Below are 20,123 nucleotides of genomic sequence, written 5' to 3'. Positions count from 1 at the left end.
TCAGGGACGCTGGGCTGGGACCCGTCCAATCAGGCACTCAGCTGGAGCAGACAGGACGGCTTCCGGGTTTGGTGGGGCCTTTGTCTCTGGCGGCAGCCGGAGCTTCTGGTGTAGTCTTCACTGCTCTGTGTCTTCTGCTCCTAGAGGCCCAGCTTCTGTGGCCTCGTTACCTGCAGGTATTGGGAGATCCACAGCTAAGACGCCAGGACCCACTGGAAGCCTAGAAATGGTGAGAGTGCCGGGTCCGACATCCCGAGAGAGGGGGCGGGGCTGGTTGGAACTGGTGGGAAGTGGCTGTGGCGGGACTCTGGCCTCCCCGCAGCTGGCTCCAAAATCCGCGGCCCCGAGTTCTCCTTGGCGCAGCTCGGCCCTCAGTCCCCTTCAGCCATAGGATGGCGGCCGGGCTGACAGCTCGGACCCCGGGCATCCTGTCTCCTCCCTGCGCAGTGACTGTGCCTTGTTCTGGAGTCCTCTGTGGGCAGCTCTGCCCCCACTGCCGCAGCTCTCCCCGATTGTGCAGGGACCACTGGACGGTCGTCAGGGGAGAATACTGACTCAGGATGCAGAGTTCATGAATGGGAAGAGCTTTGGTCTGCGGGGTTCCCAGTCCCCCTTTTTTTCTATTAAAAATTTGTGGAAGTCTCCGCAGAAATATTAAAGAATTTAATTAAAGAGTAATTCAAGAATTGTAGAGCACCAAGCTATGTTTTGTAGTTTGTGGTTTATGGAAGGGGCTTGAAGAAAACACTTTTATAAAGTGCATGATAAAGGAAAGCAAATTCAATAATTGGTTAGGTAAAGTTATGTAGTTTCTTAATTTGTACGATCAAGGTGGAAATTCCCTGGTCATGTAATGAGAGGTTAATTGGCAGTTTATAGTTGGTTAAGCCTGAATTTTATTTTCCCCCAATGTAATACTTTAGAAAAAAATCATTCGAGTTAGATTTTTTTGCAAGTAGCAACCCTAGGACTGGAGCCACCTCAGTCTAATTGCCTGCCACTTAATTATTTTCACACTCCACAGGGCACTGATTTTCCTCTGCATTTTTCACTTCTGTCTCAAGCAGGGTCTCAAGACTTCTCCCCATTTCCCATTCCTCCAGCCTAACTCTGGCTTGCAGTAAAATACTAAATTTCCAGTTCCTTCTGACATTCCCAAATGCCAATTTCCCCTCCCTAATTCACATTATCAACTATTTGTCCTTTAATGTACACTTTAGTGTACATTTTAGGTACCATATTTTAATTAATCATTTTTTGACAAAGCATTGGCTGGCATTTTAAAAAAGATTTGTTTTCTGTTTGTAAAGATTTCCCAAGAGAAGAAAGCAAAGAATAATCCCCTGACACTGTATTGTAAAAAATGTTCTGTGCCTCCTTTCCTTTTATTGCCTCTAGCCACAGAAACCTTATCAGAATATTTTTGGGTCAGGGTTTCCCTTTGGAAACTTTATAAGGTAATGTGTCCTCAGCCACCCTTCAGTTTTTTCCCTGGTTCTGGGTTTCAGTACTGTCTGGGGATAAATCAAGATATCCACTGTGGCTGTGTATGCTACAATGTCTAGTAAATTTCAGCTCCTGGCCTGGAATGAAACTTCGCATATCTGGGAATGGGAGACAGGACAGCCTGAAGTTGGAGTGTAGCCTCTCAAGGGAGCAGGTGGATGCCCTGAGGCTGAGAGGAGTCTCCTGGGGTACTCTTCCTTTGAAAAGCAAACCCTTAGAGAAGTTAAGATTGTCTTCAAGCAACCCGGGTTCCATTTCTCGAAGACACATTGCTGGTCAGCCAATCAGATGGTGGTAATGAGGGAAAAACAAATAATTACTGCCACCTGGATTCTCCAAGAATTATGAAAGAGAAAATAGTATCCCAAAAGACAAAAAAAAAAAAAAAAAAAAAATCAAACCTGGCCCCAGTGAGATGGTGCAGCAACTTGCAAAGTGAAATGCACCTTGGGGCACTCAATGGGGCCTAGTACAGTGTCTCTGGAGAGGGTGGTCACTGAGCACTTAAGTGAGCAGGATGGGGGTGGGAGAATCTCTCAAGGGATTGGGTGGCCTGACTTGACATATGAGTCAAACACATCTGTTTTTTAATGAGCACCGTAGCTCCCTGGGTTTGTCACCTTGAAAAGGTTTGTTCACTTATTTTGACTACAGTTTTTTAACTGTAACTTGCATTTTATTAGTAGGGCTTAAAAGGTAAGAAAATATTTACAAAGGGCATAAAAGAGGTGGGGCTCAGAAGAAAATAAATATCTAATCCTATATTCCATTCTTAAGAATACTCATTTAAGGAAGACTCTGTCTCAAAAACAAAAACAAAACTCATTTACCTTTTTCTTTCCCAGACCGAGTTTAGAAATTTTCTCAGGTGTGTGTTTTTGTTTTTGTTTTGTTTTGTTTTGAGACGGAGTTTTGCTCTTGTTGCCCAGGCTGGAGTGCAATGGCTCAGTATCAGCTCACTGAAACCTCTGCCTCTGGGTTCAAGTGATTCTCCTACCTCAGCCTCCCAAGTAGCTGGGATTACTGGCATGTGCCACCATGCACCAGCTAATTTTTTGTATTTTTAGTGGAGATAGCGTTTTTCCATGTTGGTCAGGCTGGTCTTGAACTCCCTGCCTCAGGTGACCTGCCCGATCTGCCCGCCTTTGCCTCCCAAAGTGCTGGGATTACAGGCGTGAGCCACCGCGCCCAGCCAGGTGTGTTTTTTTAATGACTTGGTGACATCCAACAGAATTCCAAGGCTTAGTTTTTAGAGTGCTACAAAGGAAAAAAATAGGGAAAATCTCTCTTCCATTTTGGCTGTAGAAAATGAATACATTTCCATAAGAAAATGTGGTAGATAATTGGTGAGTTACATTCATGAAAACATCAGTTCCTCTTTTTGCAGGGTACATTTGTTACAGGGAATACCTCTGTTCTGTACTCTATCATCTTGATATGTGATGTTAATGCTAAATTTTATGAGAGGAAACTTGGTATCTCCTAGAAGTGCTCCCATATGACTAATTGTTTACTACATGATTTTTAATGGAAATAATAACATATTGTCTTAAAGGAATAAATGCTTTTGTATTTCTTATTGAGGTATGAAATGTAAGTACCGTAAAATTTCCTTCCCTTATATAAACAATGTGTTTGAGTAATTTTTCTGAATTTTTCAGTTTCAAAAACCAAGTGAATAACTCTGACATGGAAATTAAAGCTTGTGCCCAGTGACCCCAAGCTAATGCTAATATTGAGCCTGCAAAAAGCGGGGAGGTTCTTTCTTTCTTTTTCTTTTTTCTTGACAGAGCCTTGCTCTGTTGCCCAGGCTGGAGTGCAGTGGTGAGATCTTGGATCACTGCAGCCTCTGCCTCCTGGTTCCAGCAAATCTCTTGCCTCAGCCTCCCAGGTAGCTGGGATTACAGGCAGGTGCCACCACACCCAGCTAATTTTTGTATTTTTAGTAGAGACGAGGTTTCACCATGTTATCCAGTCTGGTCTCAAACTCCTGACCTCAGGTGATCCTTGGTCTCCCAAAATGTTGGGGTTACAGGTGTGAGCCACTGCACCCAGCCAGGGAGGGAGGGTATTAAAGGCTCAGTTCATTCTTTCTAGGAAACCTTCCCTGCAGATGTCCCAGCCTGCTCACTCTAGCCATGGAAGAAGCCTTTATACTGAAAAAAGTGACAGAGCCCTGGAAAGCTGGGGACCCACAGACAGATGCAGTTAACATTAAGATGGAATGGGACTGGGAGGGTCTTACTGCAGATGAAATTGTTACTGTTTTGAGGCAGTTTCTAGACTTTGTAAAATGAGCTAAATTAGGTTTATGTAAAAAAATTGAATTCTAAAAGAGTGTTGCAACAGAACGAAGTACCAACTATAAGAGCTTTAAGGATTGCAAAGTTTAAACAGATAAAGGCTTTCTTTCTTAGGGAGGAGCAAAAAAGATTAGAAGGTCAGAGGGGAATAGCAAATGGAGGATGAAAAAAAATCAGATTTTAGATCAGAAATTGTTTTACCATGAAGTCAGCAAGTTTTTAGGAGGAACATAAAATGGGGCTGTATGTTGGCTCAGACTGAGAGTAGCTCAAAGTTCAGGAGCCTGTGGAAAGGAGATAAACTTAAGTAAAGTTTGATTAAGAAGTATTTTAGGCTGGGCACAATGGCTCATGCCTGTAATCCCAGCACTTTGGGAGGCCAAGGCCGGGGGATCACTTGAGGTCGGGAGTTCGAGACCAGCCTGGCCAACATGACGAAACCCCATCTCTACTAAAAAAAAATATAAAAATTAGCCAGGCATGGTTGCATGTGCCTGTTATCCCACCTACTCTGGAGGTTGAGGCAGGAGAATTGCTTGAACCTTGGAGGCAGAGGTTTCAGTGACCCAAGATCGTGCCACTACACTCTAGTCTGGGCGACAGAGTGAGACTCCATCTCAAAAAACAAACAAAAAAGCATTTTATTTTGACCACTGAAGACAAATTTAGCTAATTTTTTAATACAAAAAAGAAGAAAATGTGCAGAGTCAGTGTCTGGTTATGTGATAAGTCAGACAAGAGAGCACCATCTAAGTCATAATGAAAGGATGTTTCTTTCCATAAACTGTTCCTGGAGAACACAAAGGATAGAGAATTTTATTAACGCTATTTACCAGGATTATCTATGTGCTTCATCTTTCCCCACGTCTTTTCTTTGTCCTATACATTTTTTCCACTTGAGTTTTCTGGGTTGTATTTTGTATAATAAATGGGTAAACATAACTACAGTATTTTGCTGAGTTCTGTGAGCAGCTCTATAAAATTATTGAACTTGAGAGATTTATGGGAGTCCTGAATTTTTAAACAGTAGCTCAAAAGCATAGATGGACCTATAGGGTTTGTGACTGGTGTCTGCAGTGAAGACAGTGTTGTGAGATTGAGCCCTGGATCAGGGTCTGTGCTGACTCTTAAGTGGGGTCATAATTCAAATTTTAGACAATGTGTTGGTTTTGAAGAATTGCTTGGTGTTCAGCAAACATTACAGTTTTGGTGCCAGAAGAAAGACATCTCAGAGGCCTGGCCTGGAATGGAACTCTGGGTGTCTGGGAATGAGAGACTCTGCTCTCCTGTACACAGGCTGTCACACTGCCCATTGTCCTGGGATTTGAGGTCTCCTCCCACTCCCACTGTGAGAGAGGACTGAAAACTTAGAGGAAAGGAGCTCTTATAGCAGACCTCCTTTTCCCACCACTGCCACCTCAGGATTTCCACCCACTCACAAACATACCCACTAGACATTGATGTGTTCACACCTCCCAGGACTAGGCACCACCTTAGGAATTTCACCACAGCATTTTTCATCCTGGTGTTTCTTGCCAAAAACCCACAAAAGTGTCTACGAGTCTCCTGACATATTCCTATTCCCAGACACTGAATCTGCAGCAGCAACCTGTTCTCTCCACCAATCTAGGATTCTGGACCACCTGTTCATAATCTCATCTGCCTGCATGGACACAGAAATAAATCAGAGGACAATCCCACCTGGACCACTATCTGTAGCACAAACCATTCCTTACACGTACATTATGCTATCCCCCACCCACGAATTTTTTATTTTTGGTTCAGGGGTACACATGCAGATTTGTTATGTGGGTGAAATTGTGTCACGGGGGGTTTGGCATGCAGATTATTTTGTCACTGAGGTACTAAGCATAGCACCAAACAGGTATTCTTTGATCCTTTTTGTCCTTTCACCCTCCACCCTAAACTAGGCCTCAGTGACCGTTGTTTCTCTCTTTGTGTCCATGTGTTCTTATTATTTAGCTCTTACTTAGAAATGAGAACATGCATTTGGTCTTCTGTTTCTGCATTAGTTTTCTAAGGATAATGGTCTCCAACTCTGTCCATGTTTCTGCAAAGGACACAATCTTCTTTTTTATGGCCACACGGTATTCATTGTATTTATGTACCATATTTTGTTTTTATTAAATATTTTATTTTATTTTATTCAGTTTTGGAGACAGGGTCTCACTGTGTCACCCAGGCTGAAGTACAGTGATGTGATCTTGGCTCACTGCAGCCTCAATCTCCCTGGTGCAAACAATCCTTCTACCTCAGCCCCCCAAGTTGCTGGGACTGCAGGTGCATACCATTATGCCTGGCTAATTTTTCTTTTTGTACTTTTTGTAGAGATGTGGTTTTGCCACGTTGCCCAGGCTGGTTTCAAACTTATGACCTCAGGCAATCTACATGCCTTGGCCTATGAAAGTGCTGTGATTGGCCAGATGCAGTGGCTCATGCCTGTAATCACAGCACTTTGGGAGGCCGAGGTGGGCAGATCACAAGGTCAGGAGATCAAGACCATCCTGGCTAACACGATGACACCCCCGTCTCTACTAAAAATACAAAAAATTAGCCAGGCGTGGTGGTGGGCACCTGTAGTCCCAGCTACTTGGGAGGCTGAGGCAGGAGAATGGCGTGAACCCAGGAGGCGGAGCTTGCAGTGAGCAGAGATTGAGCCACTGCACTCCACCCTGGGCAACAGCGTGAGACTCCATCTCAAAAAAAAACAAAAAAGAAAGTGCTTTGATTACAGGCATGAGCCACCGTGCCATACCATACTTTCTTTATCCAGTCTGCCATTGATAGGTGTTTATGGTGATTCCATGTCTTTTCTATTGTGAGTAGTGCTGCAGTGAACATGCATGTCTTTGTATCTTTATGATAGAATAATTTATATTTTTTGGGGTATAAACCCAATTATGAGGTGCCTGGGTCAAATGGTAATTCTGTTTTTAGTTCTGTCATTGCCACAATTCTTTTCACAATGGTTGAATTAAGTTATACTCCTACAGGCAGTGTATATGAGGCAGGAAATATAAAAGGAAAAACAAGTAAAGGGAAAACAAGTCCTTCCCTGATCAGTCTGACTCACTCCAAAGTCCTGCTGGAGCTATGATAACATTATCTGCAAGGCCAGGCAGGGACCCCAAAAGAATGGGCTCCAGGAGCAGAGATGAGAAAAACAAGTTCTCCTTATCAGTTTCCGCCTTGAAATTCTTTCCCCATACCATTATTCTTTGTTCTGCTCTCACAACTATTTTTGTAACTATTTCTGCAAGTTTGCAAAGATTTCATAAGTTCCTGTTTTTCTTTCTGTAGCACGGCAAGGTCACAAGACATGCTTAAGTAAGATAGGGTCATGTTGCAAATCCTGTTGTAAAACCTGTCACGGTATGATTAACTGTCTTTGTTCTGCTTCTGTAAGACTGCTTTCCTGTCTCACAGGTTTCATGCCAAAAACCTGACCCGCCCCTGTTGGTTGCATGTATAAAAGTCAAGCCCTGTCATTGTTCAGGGCTCAGCCTTTGGATGTTCATCGGCTGGGCTGGTGGTCACCTAAATAAAATCCTCCTGTTCCACCAAGTGGTCTCTCCAGCCTCCTGATTCCCACAACATTTTGGCGAGCCAGCCAGGAGGGGAGACTACAGGTTTACTGTCTCCTTTGGCTGTGGGACTGGAGCCCCGGGCTGGGGGAGACCCGTGACCCAAGGCACCATTGGGAGACCTTCAACCCGGAGGGGAGATTGGCTCTCCCATGACCCGGCGCCCCTCCCTGACAGTGCATTGGAACCTAAGGGGCTACAGGACGATTCCAGGACTTCACGCTACAGGACTGCAGTAAGGTTTGGGCCCAAGGCAGGACCCGTCCCATAAGGATGGAAGGGGAGCCTGATCACCTCCTGGGGTGTACCTAGTAATCCGACTCAGGACATGAGAGGGGCTCGCAAAGTTGGAAGAAACCTACACCCCAACTGACCCAGGACGTGAGAGTGGCTCACTAAGTTGGTTAAGAAAGGAAACTGGAAGTGGGGAGGTGTGTGAATAAATGTGAAAGAGATGGTTCCAAAAGGAACCAACATGCTGAGTGACGTGTGTGGAGCCACAGGTCTCTTAGCATAGACTGTACCATCTGAGTGAAGTGTGGAACCGACCGAGACTAGTGGCAAACATCCTTTGGGGCTACGGCATATGGCTTAGGGAGGTGCCCCACAACTTATAGATTGTGGTGGTCCGGGTTCAGGACTCATATGAACCCTCCATTAAATCTAAGAAGTGTCTGAAATACTCCTGCAAGGGACACGGTCTAATCAGTCTGAAATGAAAGGAAGAGTGAGTGGGTTCTGCCATAACTGGGAGGAAATGGGAGGGAAGTCATCAAAACCCATCCCATTAGAATGTATGTTAAGGAACTTTAAGTAAGATTATACAGGGGATTATGAGATCAAGTTGACCCCCCAGAGGTTGAGAACTCTCTGTGAAATAGAATGGCCCTCTTTCAATGTTGGATGGCTGGCCGAAGGAACTATAGATAGGGAAAAAATTGGCCGTGTATTTAAGGTGGTGACTGGGGTCGGAGGACAGCCAGGGCATCCAGACCAATTTCCTTATATTGACTCATGGCTAAATATAGTTCAAACTCAACCTGCATGGCTGCAGCCTTGCCTGGCTTCTTATTGCAAAACGCTCATAGCTCGAGCCAAGCCTAAAGTAAAAGAAAAATCAGCTTCACTGTCAGCTACAGAGACAAAAGGAAAGCCACAAGAAAAACCAGTTTTGCAGGAACCAGCAGAGGAGATAGAAACCCCTCCTCCCTATGTGCCAATCTATCCCCCTTTACCAAGGACGGCCCCTGAGCAGCCAGACTCAGATGGTGACACACTCCAGGCTACACCTCAAAGGGGGAAATCTGAGCCCCCACCTCAGGAGGTCAAGAAGGAAAGTCAGGATGATCAAGCAGGCCGCCTTCGACCTGGCCACACCAGAGTGTGGCAGATGCCCCTCCGTGAAACACGGGGACCTATCTATTATGATGAACAGGGGCAGGTTCAAGGGGGGGCAACCGACTTTTATTTACCAGCCTTTTTCAACCACTGATCTCCTAAACTGGAAACACCATACTCCCTACTCCCTCCTACACAGAGAAGCCCCAAGCCCTCACAGATCTGATGCAGTCCATTTTTCAGACACAAAATCCAACGTGGCCAGATTGCAAACAGCTCCTCCTGACACTGTTTAACACCGAGGAATGCCGAAGGGTGACCCAGGCAGCCCTCCACTGGCTGGAACACAATGCACCAGAAGGCACACTTAATGTCCAGGCATATATGCTCAGGGCCAATTCCCAGAAGCCAGCCTACACTGGGACCCAAATGATGCAGCCCAATTACAGTACCTACAGAGGTACTGGGAGGCACTCCTGCAAGGGCTAAAGGAAGGTGGGAAAAAGGCAGTCAACACGGGGAAAATCTTGGAAGTGCTGCAGGAGACTAATTAAAGTCCTGGTCAGTTTTATGAGAGACTCTGTAAAGCATTCTAGCTTTACACCCCGTTTGACACTGAGGCTACTGAGAACCAGTGCATGGTGAACGCAGAGTTTGTAGGACAGGCCCAGGGAGACATCAGGCGAAAGCTGCAAAAGCTAGAGTGTTTCACGGGCATGAATGCCACTCAGCTTTTAGAAGTGGCCACCAAGGTGTATGTTAACCGTAACCAGGAGACAAAGAGAGGCTGATCAGACTTAAGAAAAAGGCCGATCTGCTAGTGGCAGTCCTCACAGGAAGGGAAACTAGCATCGCGAGTGGGTGTGGACATAGCCATGGACATGGAGGGGTTCAGGCCAGGCAGAGACCTGAAAGTCAACCAAGACTATGTAGGAATCAATGTGCGCAATGCAAAAAGAGGGGACACTGGAAAGGTGAATGTCCAGAGGGCAATGAAGAAAATGACAGAGACTATAAAACTGGAAAACTGCCAGCCAAGGGCTATTGTGTCCCAAGGGAGTCAGATACCTACTTGATCAGGCTGGCAGGAACTGGAGAATATGAAGATTAGGCCAGACTGGGCTCCTTCTCTTTAGCCCCCCAGGAGCCCATGGTCACATTAGAAGTAGGAGGCCAGCTAATGAACTTTATGGTAGACACTGGGGCTGAACACTTGGTAGTGACCCAGCCCATAGGGCCATCATCCAAAGATCATACAACTATTGTTGGGGCTACAGGGGTCCCAGAGAAGAGGCCATTTTGTCAGCCAAGGAGGTGTGTCTTTGGAGGATGAGAGGTCCAACATAAATTCCTGTATCTCCCCAATTATCCAGTGCCTCTACTAGGAAGAGACCTACTCCAAAAATTGCATGCACAGATTACCTTTGGGTCACAAGGAGATATTACTTTAAGCCTAACTCAACCAAAGGCCATGGTGTTAACCCTCACCATCCCGCAGGCTGAGGAATGGAGACTATACATGAAGTACAGGCACCAATGCAGCCTTGTACGCAGGAGGAAGAGAAATTATTATTTAGGCCAATTGATAAAATTCCTGGAGTATGGGCTGAAGACAAGCCACCTGGGCTGGCTGTAAATCAGGCACTGGTAGTAGAATTAAAACCAGGAGCAACTCCAGTTCAGGTTTGTCAGTACCCACTTTCCCAAGAGGATATTTGGGGCATTTATAAGCATTTAAAGTGGCTCTGTGACCATGGGATCATAATCCAATGCCAGTCACCCTGGAACACTCCACTTTTGCTGGTACAAAAACCATTGCCTGGACCAGGATCTGATGAGTATATACCGGTGCAGGGCTTGCATGCTGTAAACCAAGCCACGGTGACCATACATCCAGTAGTACCAAACCTGTATACTTTAATGGGACTTATTCTAGCAAGTGCCACCTGGTTTACAGTCCTGGACTTAAAGGATGCTTTCTTCTGTCTCTACCTGGCACCAGTTAGTCAGCCCATCTTTGCATTTTAATGGGACAATTCAGTCACAGGCACAGGGGGACAGCTCGCCTGGACTAGTCTCCCACAAGGGTTCAAGAATTCTCCCACAATCTTTGGGGAAGCACTGGCCTCAGACCTCAAGGCATACACCCCACCAAATGACAACTGCGCCTTGTTGCAGTACATAGACAACCTTCTTTTGGCAGCCCCAACCCAAGAGGACTGTTACTGGGGAACCCAGGACCTCCTCCATCTCTTATGGAAAGCAGGGTATAGAGTATCCAAAAAGAAGGCCCAAATTTGCCATGAAAAGGTTAAATATTTAGGCTTCATAGTAAGCCAAGGGGAACGCTGGCTTGGCCATGGATGAAAGCAAGCCATTTGTGCACTTCCAACTCCAACCACCTGGCGCCAAATAGGGGAATTCTTAGGGGCAGCAGGGTTCTGCCATATCTGGATCCCAAATTTCTCACTTATAGCCAGGCCCTTATATGAAGCCACAAGGGAGGGTGAAAAGGAACCCCTCCTCTGAAAGGCTGACCAGAAGAAGGTGTTTAAACAAATCAAAGAAGCCCTAACTCAGGCTCCAGCCTTAGGACTGCCAGATACTACTAAGCCTTTCTTTCTATATGTCCATGAATTAAAGGGAATGGCTATAGGGGTCCTGACTCAAATCATAGGATCATGGCATCGCCCAGTGGTGTACTTATCCAAACAGTTGACTCTGTGGTGCTAGGGTGGCCTCCTTGCTGTAAAGCACTAGCCACTACCACCCTATTGACACAAGAAGCTGACAAACTGACCCTGGGGCAACAATTGACCATCCAGGTACCACATGCGGTTATAACTTTAATGGATCAGAGAGAGCAGCATTGGTTATCAAACCCAACGATGACTTGATACCAAGGGCTCCTATGTGAAAATCCACGCATAACTTTAGAAACAGTGAACACCCTTAACCCAGCTACCCTGCTCCCAGTCAAACCGGGAATCACCTTCCGTGACTGTGGCAACAGTGGACGAGGTATTCTCCAGTCGAGGAGACCTTACAGACCAGCCTTTCAAGGACCCAGATGTAGAATACTTCATAGATGGAAGCAGTTTTGTGCTGGAAGGGGTCTGCTGGGCTGGGTAGGCAGTGGTGACCTTAGACTCAGTGGTGGAGGCGTAGCCTCAGCCTGCTGGAACATCAGCCCAGAAGGCAGAGCTAGCAGCCCTAACGAGGGTTCTCCAGCTGGCAGAAGACAAAAAGATCAGTGTTTACACGGATTCCAAATATGCTTTTGCCACACTGCATGTTCATGGAGCTATATATAAAGAAAGAGGACTCTTAACTGCCACAGGCAAAGAAATAAAATGGAAAGAATGAATTCTACAGCTCTTAGATGCTGTATGGATCCCAGAGAAAGTAGCAGCTATGCACTGCAGGGGACACCAGAGGGCAGGGACGTCAGAGGCAAAAGGAAACAGAAAGGCAGACAGGGAGGCAAAATGGGCAGCAATGGTTACACCTCATTTTAAAAAGGAAGCCTTAGCTATGCCCCTCCTCCCAGAGCCTCCCCTCCAGGAGGTCTCAAGTTACTCTCCGAATGAGAAGGCCTGTTTTGCCCAAAAAACTGGAAAATATATTGAAGGAGGATGGTGGAAATTTTCTGATGGGAGGTCGGCCATTCCCAAAATGGTGGCCCCCAAATTTGTGAAGTAATTGCATCATGGAACTCGTGGGAAAAACAGCACTAGAAACGCTACTAGGACGCCATTTCTATGTGCCGCGACTCACTGCCATCACCCAAGCTGTTTGTGAACAATATTTAACCTGTGCCCAGAACAACCCATGACAATGGCCCACTCGGCCCCCAGGAATTCAGGAAATAGGAACCATGCCCTGTGAAAACCTGCTTATGGACTTACAGAGTTGCCTCAGGCAGGGAGCTATCGGTACATGTTAGTACTTGTCTACACCTTTTCAGGATGGGCCAAGGCTTTCCCTACCAGAAGCAAGAACTCATGAGAAGTGACTAAAATACTATTAAGAAACATTATCCCCAGATTTGGACTGTCTGTGACTCTAGGGTCAGACAACAGGCTGGCATTTCTAGCTGAAATAATTCAGGAACTAACACGAGTGTTAAAAATAAAATGGAAATTACACACAGCCTACCGGCTGCAGAGCTTAGGAAAAGTAGAGTGCATGAACTGGACACTCAAACAGCTACTGAAGAAATATTGCCAAGAAACCCCTCTGAGATGGGATCAAGTCCTGCCCATGGTCCTCCTTCAAGTTAGGTGCACCCCCACCAAACAAACTGGGTATTCGCCCTATGAAATACTGTTCGGCAAGCCATCCCCAATCATAAGTCAAATTAAGGGTAATCTCCGTGAACTAGGGGAATTAACTTTAAGGAGGCAAATGCAGGCTTTAGGGATAGCCATGTGAAGTGTCCATGGCTGGGTACAGGAAAGAATGCCCATAAGCCTGATAGATCCAATACACCCCTTTAAACCCAGGGACTCTCTTTGGGTCAAAAAATAAAACCCAACCACTCTGGGACCCATATGGGATGGGCTCCATACTGTAATCTTGTCTATTCCCACTGTTGTTAAAGTTGCAGGAATTGTGCCTTGGATCCATCCATCCAGTCAGCTGAAACCAGCAGCCCAGGACAAGTGGACCAGCCAACAGGACCTAGACCATGCAACCCAGCTGATCCTACGATGGAACCAAGGTGCCAGTGAGATGACAACAGCCCTGCTCTGGTCACTCCGGAAGCTGACCAGTCCACACACGGCTGAAGCTTGAGGAGACAACAGCCCTGCTCTAGTCACCCCAGAAGCTGACTAGTCTATGCACGGCCGAAGCTTGAGTCATCATCAGGGAAGTAAATGTGGTTAGAAATCTGAAGTCCAGTAATTTTCCTTGTCATATTAATTACTTTGCTATTAAGCTGTCACTTTGCTTAGCCTTCTCCCCCCAGGAAAAAGCCTTTTCTGTCCATGCTGGGTATGAACATGCTACTCATCACTTTGTTCTTGCTACTCCCCTTATCCATGTTAAAAGGAGAACCCTGGGAGGGATGCCTCCACTGCACCCACACTACGTGGTCGGGGAACATCATGACTAAAACCCTGTTGTATCACACTTATTATGAGTGTGCTGGGACCTGCCTAGGAACTTGTACTCACAACCAGACAACCTACTCAGTCTGTGACCCAGGAAGGGGCCAGCCTTATGTGTGTTATGACCCTAAGTCTTCACCTGGGACCTGGTTTGAAATTCATGTCGGGTCAAAGGAAGGGGATCTTCTAAACCAAACCAAGGTATTTCCCTCTGGCAAGGATGTCGTATCCTTATACTTTGATGTTTGCCAGATAGTATCCATGGGCTCACTCTTTCCCGTAATCTTCAGTTCCATGGAGTACTATAGTAGCTGCCATAAAAATAGGTATGCACACCCTGCTTGTTCCACCGATTCCCCAGTAACAACTTGCTGGGACTGCACAACGTGGTCCACTAACCAACAATCACTAGGGCCAATTATGCTTACCAAAATACCATTAGAACCAGATTGTAAAACAAGCACTTGCAATTCTGTAAATCTTACCATCTTAGAGCCAGATCAGCCCATATGGACAACAGGTTTAAAAGCACCGCTAGGGGCACGAGTCAGCGGTGAAGAAATTGGCCCAGGAGCCTATGTCTATCTATATATCATAAAGAAAACTCGGACCCGCTCAACCCAACAGTTCCGAGTTTTTGAGTCATTCTATGAGCATGTTAACCAGAAATTGCCTGAGCCCCCTCCCTTGGCCAGTAATTTATTCGCCCAACTGGCTGAAAACATAGCCAGCAGCCTGCACGTTGCTTCATGTTATGTCTGTGGGGGAATGAACATGGGAGACCAATGGCCATGGGAAGCAAGGGAACTAATGCCCCAAGATAATTTCACACTAACCGCCTCTTCCCTCGAACCTGCACCATCAAGTCAGAGCATCTGGTTCTTAAAAACCTCCATTATTGGAAAATTCTGTATTGCTCGCTGGGGAAAGGCCTTTACAGACCCAGTAGGAGAGTTAACTTGCCTAGGACAACAATATTACAACGAGACACTAGGAAAGACTTTATGGAGGGGCAAAAGCAATAATTCTGAATCACCACACCCAAGCCCATTCTCTCGTTTCCCATCTTTAAACCATTCTTGGTACCAACTTGAAGCTCCAAATACCTGGCAGGCACCCTCTGGCCTCTACTGGATCTGTGGGCCACAAGCATATCGACAACTGCCAGCTAAATGGTCAGGGGCCTGTGTACTGGGGACAATTAGGCCGTCCTTCTTCCTAATGCCCCTAAAACAGGGAGAAGCCTTAGGATACCCCATCTATGATGAAACTAAAAGGAAAAGCAAAAGAGGCATAACTATAGGAGATTGGAAGGACAATGAATGGCCTCCTGAAAGAATAATTCAATATTATGGCCCAGCCACCTGGGCAGAAGATGGAATGTGGGGATACCGCACCCCAGTTTACATGCTTAACCGCATTATAAGATTGCAGGCAGTACTAGAAATCATTACCAATGAAACTGCAGGGGCCTTGAATCTGCTTGCCCAGCAAGCCACAAAAATGAGAAATGTCATTTATCAAAATAGACTGGCCTTAGACTACCTCCTAGCCCAGGAAGAGGGAGTATGCGGAAAGTTCAACCTTACTAACTGCTGCCTGGAACTTGATGACGAAGGAAAGGTCATCAAAGAAATAACTGCTAAAATCCAAAAGTTAGCTCACATCCCAGTTCAGACTTGGAAAGGATAGTCTCCAGATTCCCTTTTCAGAGGTTGGTTCTCATCCCTTGGAGGATTTAAAACCTTAGTACAAATAGTCCTAGCCATATTGGGAGTTTGCCTTATACTCCCTTGTCTCTTACCCCTCATTGTCAAAAATATCCAAACAGCCATAGAGGCTCTTGTGGACAGACGGACTACCACACGACTAATGGCCCTAACTAAGTATTAACCCCTGCCAAGAAAAGAGCTACTTCCTCTTGAAGTAAATGAAGATAGTGATGCTTTCTCTTAAACTTTACTTATAAAAAGCATCAAAGGGGGGAATGAAGCAGGAAATATAAAAGGAAAAACAAGTAAAGGGAAAACAAGTCCTTTCCTGACCAGTCTGACTCACTCCAAAGTCCTGCTGGAGCTATGATAATTATCTGCAAGGCCAGGCAGGGGCTCCGAAGGAGTGGGCTCCAGGAGCAGGGATGAGAAAAACAAGTTCTCCTTATCAGTTTCCCTGTTTGAAATTCTCTCCCCATAACATTATTCTTTGTTCTGCTCTCACAACTATTTTTGTAACTATTTCTGCAAGTCTGTAAAGATTTTGTAAGTTCTTGTTTTTCTTTCTGTAGCATGGCAAGGTCACAAGACATGTTTAAGTAAGGTAGGCTCATGTTGCAAATCCTGTTGTAAAACCTGTCACGGTATGATTAACTGCCTTTGTTCTGCTTCTGTAAGACTGCTTTCTCACCTCGCAGGTTTTGCGCCAAAAACCCGACTTGCCCCTGCCTGATGCATGTATAAAAGTCAAGCCCTGTCTTTGTTCAGGGCTCAGCCTTTGGATGTTAATCCGCTGGGCCAGTGGCCACCTAAATAAAACCTTCCTGTTGCACCCAGTGATCTCTCCGGCCTCCTGATTCCCACAACATATAAGCATTCCTTTTTCTCTGCAACCTAGCCCGCATCTGTCATTGACTTTTTAACAATAGGCATTCTGACTGGATGAGATGGTATCTCACTGTGGTTTTTCTCTGCATTTTTCTAATAATTAACAACGTGAATTTTGTTTTCATATGCTTGTCAGCCACATGTATGTCTTCTTTTGAAAAGTATCTGTTCATGTTTTTGCTTACTTTTTAATTAGGTTTTTGGTTTTCTTTTTGTTGTTGTTGTTGTTTTCTGAGATGGAGTCTTGCTGTGTCACCAGGATGGAGTGCAGTGGCATGATCTCGACTCACTGCAACCTCCACCTCCCAGGTTCAGATGATTCTTCTGCTTCAGTCTCCTGAGTAGCTGGGATCACAGGTGCGTGACACAAAACCCAGCTAATTTTTGTATTTTTATTAGAGATGGGGTTTCACCATGTTGGCCAGGATGGTCTGGATCTCTTGACCTCATGATCCATCTGCCTCAGCTTCCCAAAGTGCTGGGATTACAAGCATGAGCCACAGATCCTGGCTTATTCTTCTTCTTCTTTTTTTTTAAAATAAATTTGTTTAAGTTTCTTATGGATGCTAGATTTTAGACCTTTGTCAGAAGCATAGTTTGCAAATATTTTCTTCTAGTCTGTAGGTTGTCTGTTTATTCAGTTGATTGTTTCCATTGCTGCAAAATAGCTCTTTAGTTTAATTAGGTCCCATTTGTCAATTTTTGCTTCTGTTGCAATTGCTTTTGGTATCTTCATCATAAAATCTTTGCCAGTTTTTATGTCTTAGAATTTTCTAGGTTATTTTCTAGATTATTTTCAGGTTTTATATATATATATATATATATATATATATATATATATATATATATATATATATATAATTTTAAGTTCTACATTTAAGTCTTTAATTCATCTTGAATTGATTTTTATATATCATGTAAGAAAGGCATCCAGTTTCAATCTTCTGCATAGTGCTAGCTAGTTATTCCAACCTCATTTATTAAATAGGGAATTCTTCCTGCATTGCTCTTGTAAGCTTTGTTGAAGATCAGATGGTTGCAGGTGTGTGGCATTGTGGCATTATTTATTGGCTATCTATTCTGTTTCTTGTTCTATGAGTCGTTTATATATATGTGTGTGTGTGTGTATATGTGTATATATGTGTGTGTGTGTGTGTATACATTGCCTTGGGTATTCGGGCTCTTTGTTAGTTCTATATGAATTTTAAAATAGTTGTTTTTAGTTCTGTTAAGAATGTTTTTGGTAGTTTGATAGGAATTACATTAGATCTGTAAATTTCTTTTGGCAGTATGGCCATTTTAATGATATTGATCTTTTTTATCCATGAGCATAAAATAAATCTCCATTTATTTGTGTCATATATGATTTATTTAAGCAGTGTTTTGTAATTCTTGTTGTAGAGGTCTTTCACCTCCCTGGTTAGCTGTATCTCTAGATGTTTTATTCTTTTTGTGGCAGTTGTGAAGGGGATTGTGTTTTTGATTTGGCTTTCGGCTTGGATGTTATTAATGTACAGGGATGCTACTAATTTTTGTACATTTGCTTTGTATTGTGAAGTTTGGTTCAGTTTTTCAGTTTAAGGAGCTTTTCTGTGGAGACTATAGGGTTTTCTATATATAGAATTACATCTGCAAAAAATGGGAAGTTTGACTTCCTTTCTTCCTATTTGGATGCCTTTTATTTTGTCTCTTGTCTGATTGCTCTGGTGAGGGCTGCCAATTCTATGTTGAATAGGAGTGGTGAGAGAAAACATCCTTGTCTTGTGCCAGTTTTCATGGAGAAATGCTTCCAGCTTTTGTCCACTCAGTATGTTTGTTGTGGGTTTGTCATACAGAATTCATTATTTTGAAGTATGTATCTTCTATGCCTAGTTTGTTGCAGGTTTTTAACGTGAAAGATGTTAAATTTTCTTGAAAGCTTTTTCTGCATCTATTGAGATAATCTGGTGGTTTTTATCCTTATTTTTGTTTTTGTAATGAATCACATATATTAATTTGTGTATGTTGAACCAGCCTCATATCCCAGGGATAAAGCCTACTTGATCATAATGGATTTGCTTTTTGATGTGCTGTTGAATTTAATTTGCCAATATTTTGTTGAAGATTTTTGCATCAATGGTCATCAAGGATATTGGCCTAAAGTTTTCTTTTTTTGTTATACCTATGTCAGGTTTTGGTGTCAGAATGATGACATTCTTATATAATGAGTTGAAGGGGAGTGTTTTTTTCTCAATTTTTTGGAATAGTTTTAGAAGGAATGGTACCAGCTCTTCTTTGTACATCTGGTAGAATTCAGTTGTGAATCTCTCTCGTCCTGGGCTTTTTTTGGTTGCTAGGCTATTCATTACTAATTCAGTTTTGGAGTTTGTTATTGGTCTACTCAGAGATTCGATTTCTTTTTTGTTCAGTCTTGGGAGGATATATTTGTCCACGACTTTACTATTTCTATTTTTTTGGTCTTTTTTTTTTTTTTTTCCTTTTTGTGGAGAACGGGGTCTCACTATATTGCCCAGGCAGGTCTCAAACTCCTGGGCTCAAGCTATCCTCCCACCTTTTGCCTCCCTGAGAGCTGGGACTACAGATGTGAGCCACCGCACCCAGCTGAATTTACTATTTCTTTCAGATTTTTTAGTTTGTGTTCATAGAAGTGTTTATAGTAGACTTCAACAGTTATTTGTATTCTTGTGGGGTCAGGGTTAATGTTCCTTTTGTCATTTCTAATTCTCTTTATTTGAATCTTCTTTCTTTATGAATCTGGCTCGTGGTTTATTTAGCTTATTAATTTTTTCCAAAGATTTAACTCCTGGATTTCTTGATCTTTTGTATAGTTTTTCACATCTAAATCTCCTTCAGTACAGATCAGATTAGTTACTTTTTGCCCTCTGCTAGTTAGGGATTGGTTTTGTCTTGCATCTCTCATTTTATTTATGATATTACATTGTTAAATTGAGATCTTTTTAACTTTTTTATGTGAGCATTTAGTGCTATAAATTCTTCTTTTAACACTGCCTTAGCTGTGTTGCAGAGATTCTGGTATGTTGTACTTTGTTCTCATTTGTTTCAAAGAACTTTTTTATTTCTGCCTTAATTTTATTATTTACCCAAAAGTTATTCAGATGCAGGTTGTTTAATTTCCACATAATTGTATGGTTTCAAGTGGTTTTCTTTGTTTTGATTTATATTTGTATCAAGTTGTGGTCAGAGTGTGTGGTTGGTATAATTTGGGGATGTTTGAATTTGGTGAGGATTGTTTTATTTCTGATTGTGTGGTCAATTTTAGAGTATGGGCCACTTGGTGATGAGAAGAATGTATATTATATTGCTTTTAGATGGAGACTTTTGTAGATGTCTATTATGATTATTTGGTCAAGTATTGAGTTTAGGTCCTAATATCTTTGTTAATTTTCTGCCTCAAAAATGTGTCTAATAGTGTCTGTGGGGTGTTGTAGTCTCCCAAAATTATTCTGTCAGAATCTAAATATAAATCTCTTAGAACTGGTCTTATTCATGTGTACCTGTGAAAGGAAATGAAATCTTCAGAGCCCAAACTCATTAAACCAAAAAGAAAAGTTAGGCTGGGAACTGGGTCACACAAACCCACCTATCCTTTTGGTTCTTAAATAAGATGGCTACAAGATGAAAAGTTACATGACTCCC

At 43.6% G+C, this 20,123-nt stretch overlaps 3 protein-coding genes across 6 annotated transcripts in view, besides 4 other annotated features; all 3 read left to right on the top strand.

Annotated features, from left to right (window-relative positions):
- The window catches only part of ERV3-1-ZNF117 (ERV3-1-ZNF117 readthrough), a 34,971-nt gene continuing 14,871 nt past the window's right edge, over positions 24-20,123 (top strand). The window contains exon 1 of the mRNA NM_001348050.2: positions 24-229. The gene's annotated coding sequence lies outside the window, so the exon portion shown is untranslated. The remainder of the gene's footprint in view (positions 230-20,123) is intronic.
- Positions 83-16,414, top strand: ERV3-1 (endogenous retrovirus group 3 member 1, envelope). 4 transcript variants are annotated; one of them, NR_145414.3, is made up of 2 exons: positions 83-229; positions 1,576-3,064. NR_145414.3 is itself a non-coding variant. In NM_001007253.4 (2 exons), exon 2 carries the CDS (start codon positions 13,744-13,746, stop codon positions 15,556-15,558), a length of 1,815 nt encoding a protein of 604 aa, NP_001007254.2. In that variant the 5' UTR covers positions 83-229; positions 13,356-13,743; the 3' UTR covers positions 15,559-16,414. The 4 variants fall into 4 exon arrangements, 2 of the variants coding, with proteins under 2 accessions (NP_001007254.2, NP_001382991.1); NR_145415.2 differs by lacking the exon at positions 1,576-3,064 and adding an exon at positions 448-700; NM_001007253.4 differs by lacking the exon at positions 1,576-3,064 and adding an exon at positions 13,356-16,414.
- Positions 93-152: an enhancer, noted in NCBI's record as "active region_26070". NCBI's record gives its function as "activates an Ori minimal core promoter by ATAC-STARR-seq in GM12878 lymphoblastoid cells {active_cell/tissue: GM12878}" and the evidence as "EXISTENCE:reporter gene assay evidence [ECO:0000049][PMID:35858748]".
- Positions 6,805-7,099: an enhancer, noted in NCBI's record as "tiled region #12375; K562 Activating DNase matched - State 5:Enh". NCBI's record gives its function as "activates a minimal TATA promoter and a strong SV40 promoter by Sharpr-MPRA in K562 cells {active_cell/tissue: K562}" and the evidence as "EXISTENCE:reporter gene assay evidence [ECO:0000049][PMID:27701403]".
- Positions 6,805-7,124: a biological region, named in NCBI's record as "Sharpr-MPRA regulatory region 12375".
- Positions 7,075-7,124: an enhancer, noted in NCBI's record as "active region_26069". NCBI's record gives its function as "activates an Ori minimal core promoter by ATAC-STARR-seq in GM12878 lymphoblastoid cells {active_cell/tissue: GM12878}" and the evidence as "EXISTENCE:reporter gene assay evidence [ECO:0000049][PMID:35858748]".
- Positions 15,734-20,123, top strand: part of ZNF117 (zinc finger protein 117) — a 19,265-nt gene continuing 14,875 nt past the window's right edge. Inside the window, exon 1 of the mRNA NM_015852.5 lies at positions 15,734-16,823. The gene's annotated coding sequence lies outside the window, so the exon portion shown is untranslated. The remainder of the gene's footprint in view (positions 16,824-20,123) is intronic.

The sequence above is a fragment of the Homo sapiens genome, chromosome 7 (assembly GCF_000001405.40).
Source record: "Homo sapiens chromosome 7, GRCh38.p14 Primary Assembly".
NCBI classification, from domain to species: domain Eukaryota; kingdom Metazoa; phylum Chordata; class Mammalia; order Primates; family Hominidae; genus Homo; species Homo sapiens.
Note: the sequence above shows the minus strand (reverse complement) of the source record. Positions and strands in the feature narration are given on the sequence as shown.

Bases quoted from the DNA above. Each gene is read 5' to 3' on its own strand.
- ERV3-1 (NM_001007253.4), top strand. From the start codon at position 13,744: ATGCTGGGTATGAACATGCTACTCATCACTTTGTTCTTGCTACTCCCC.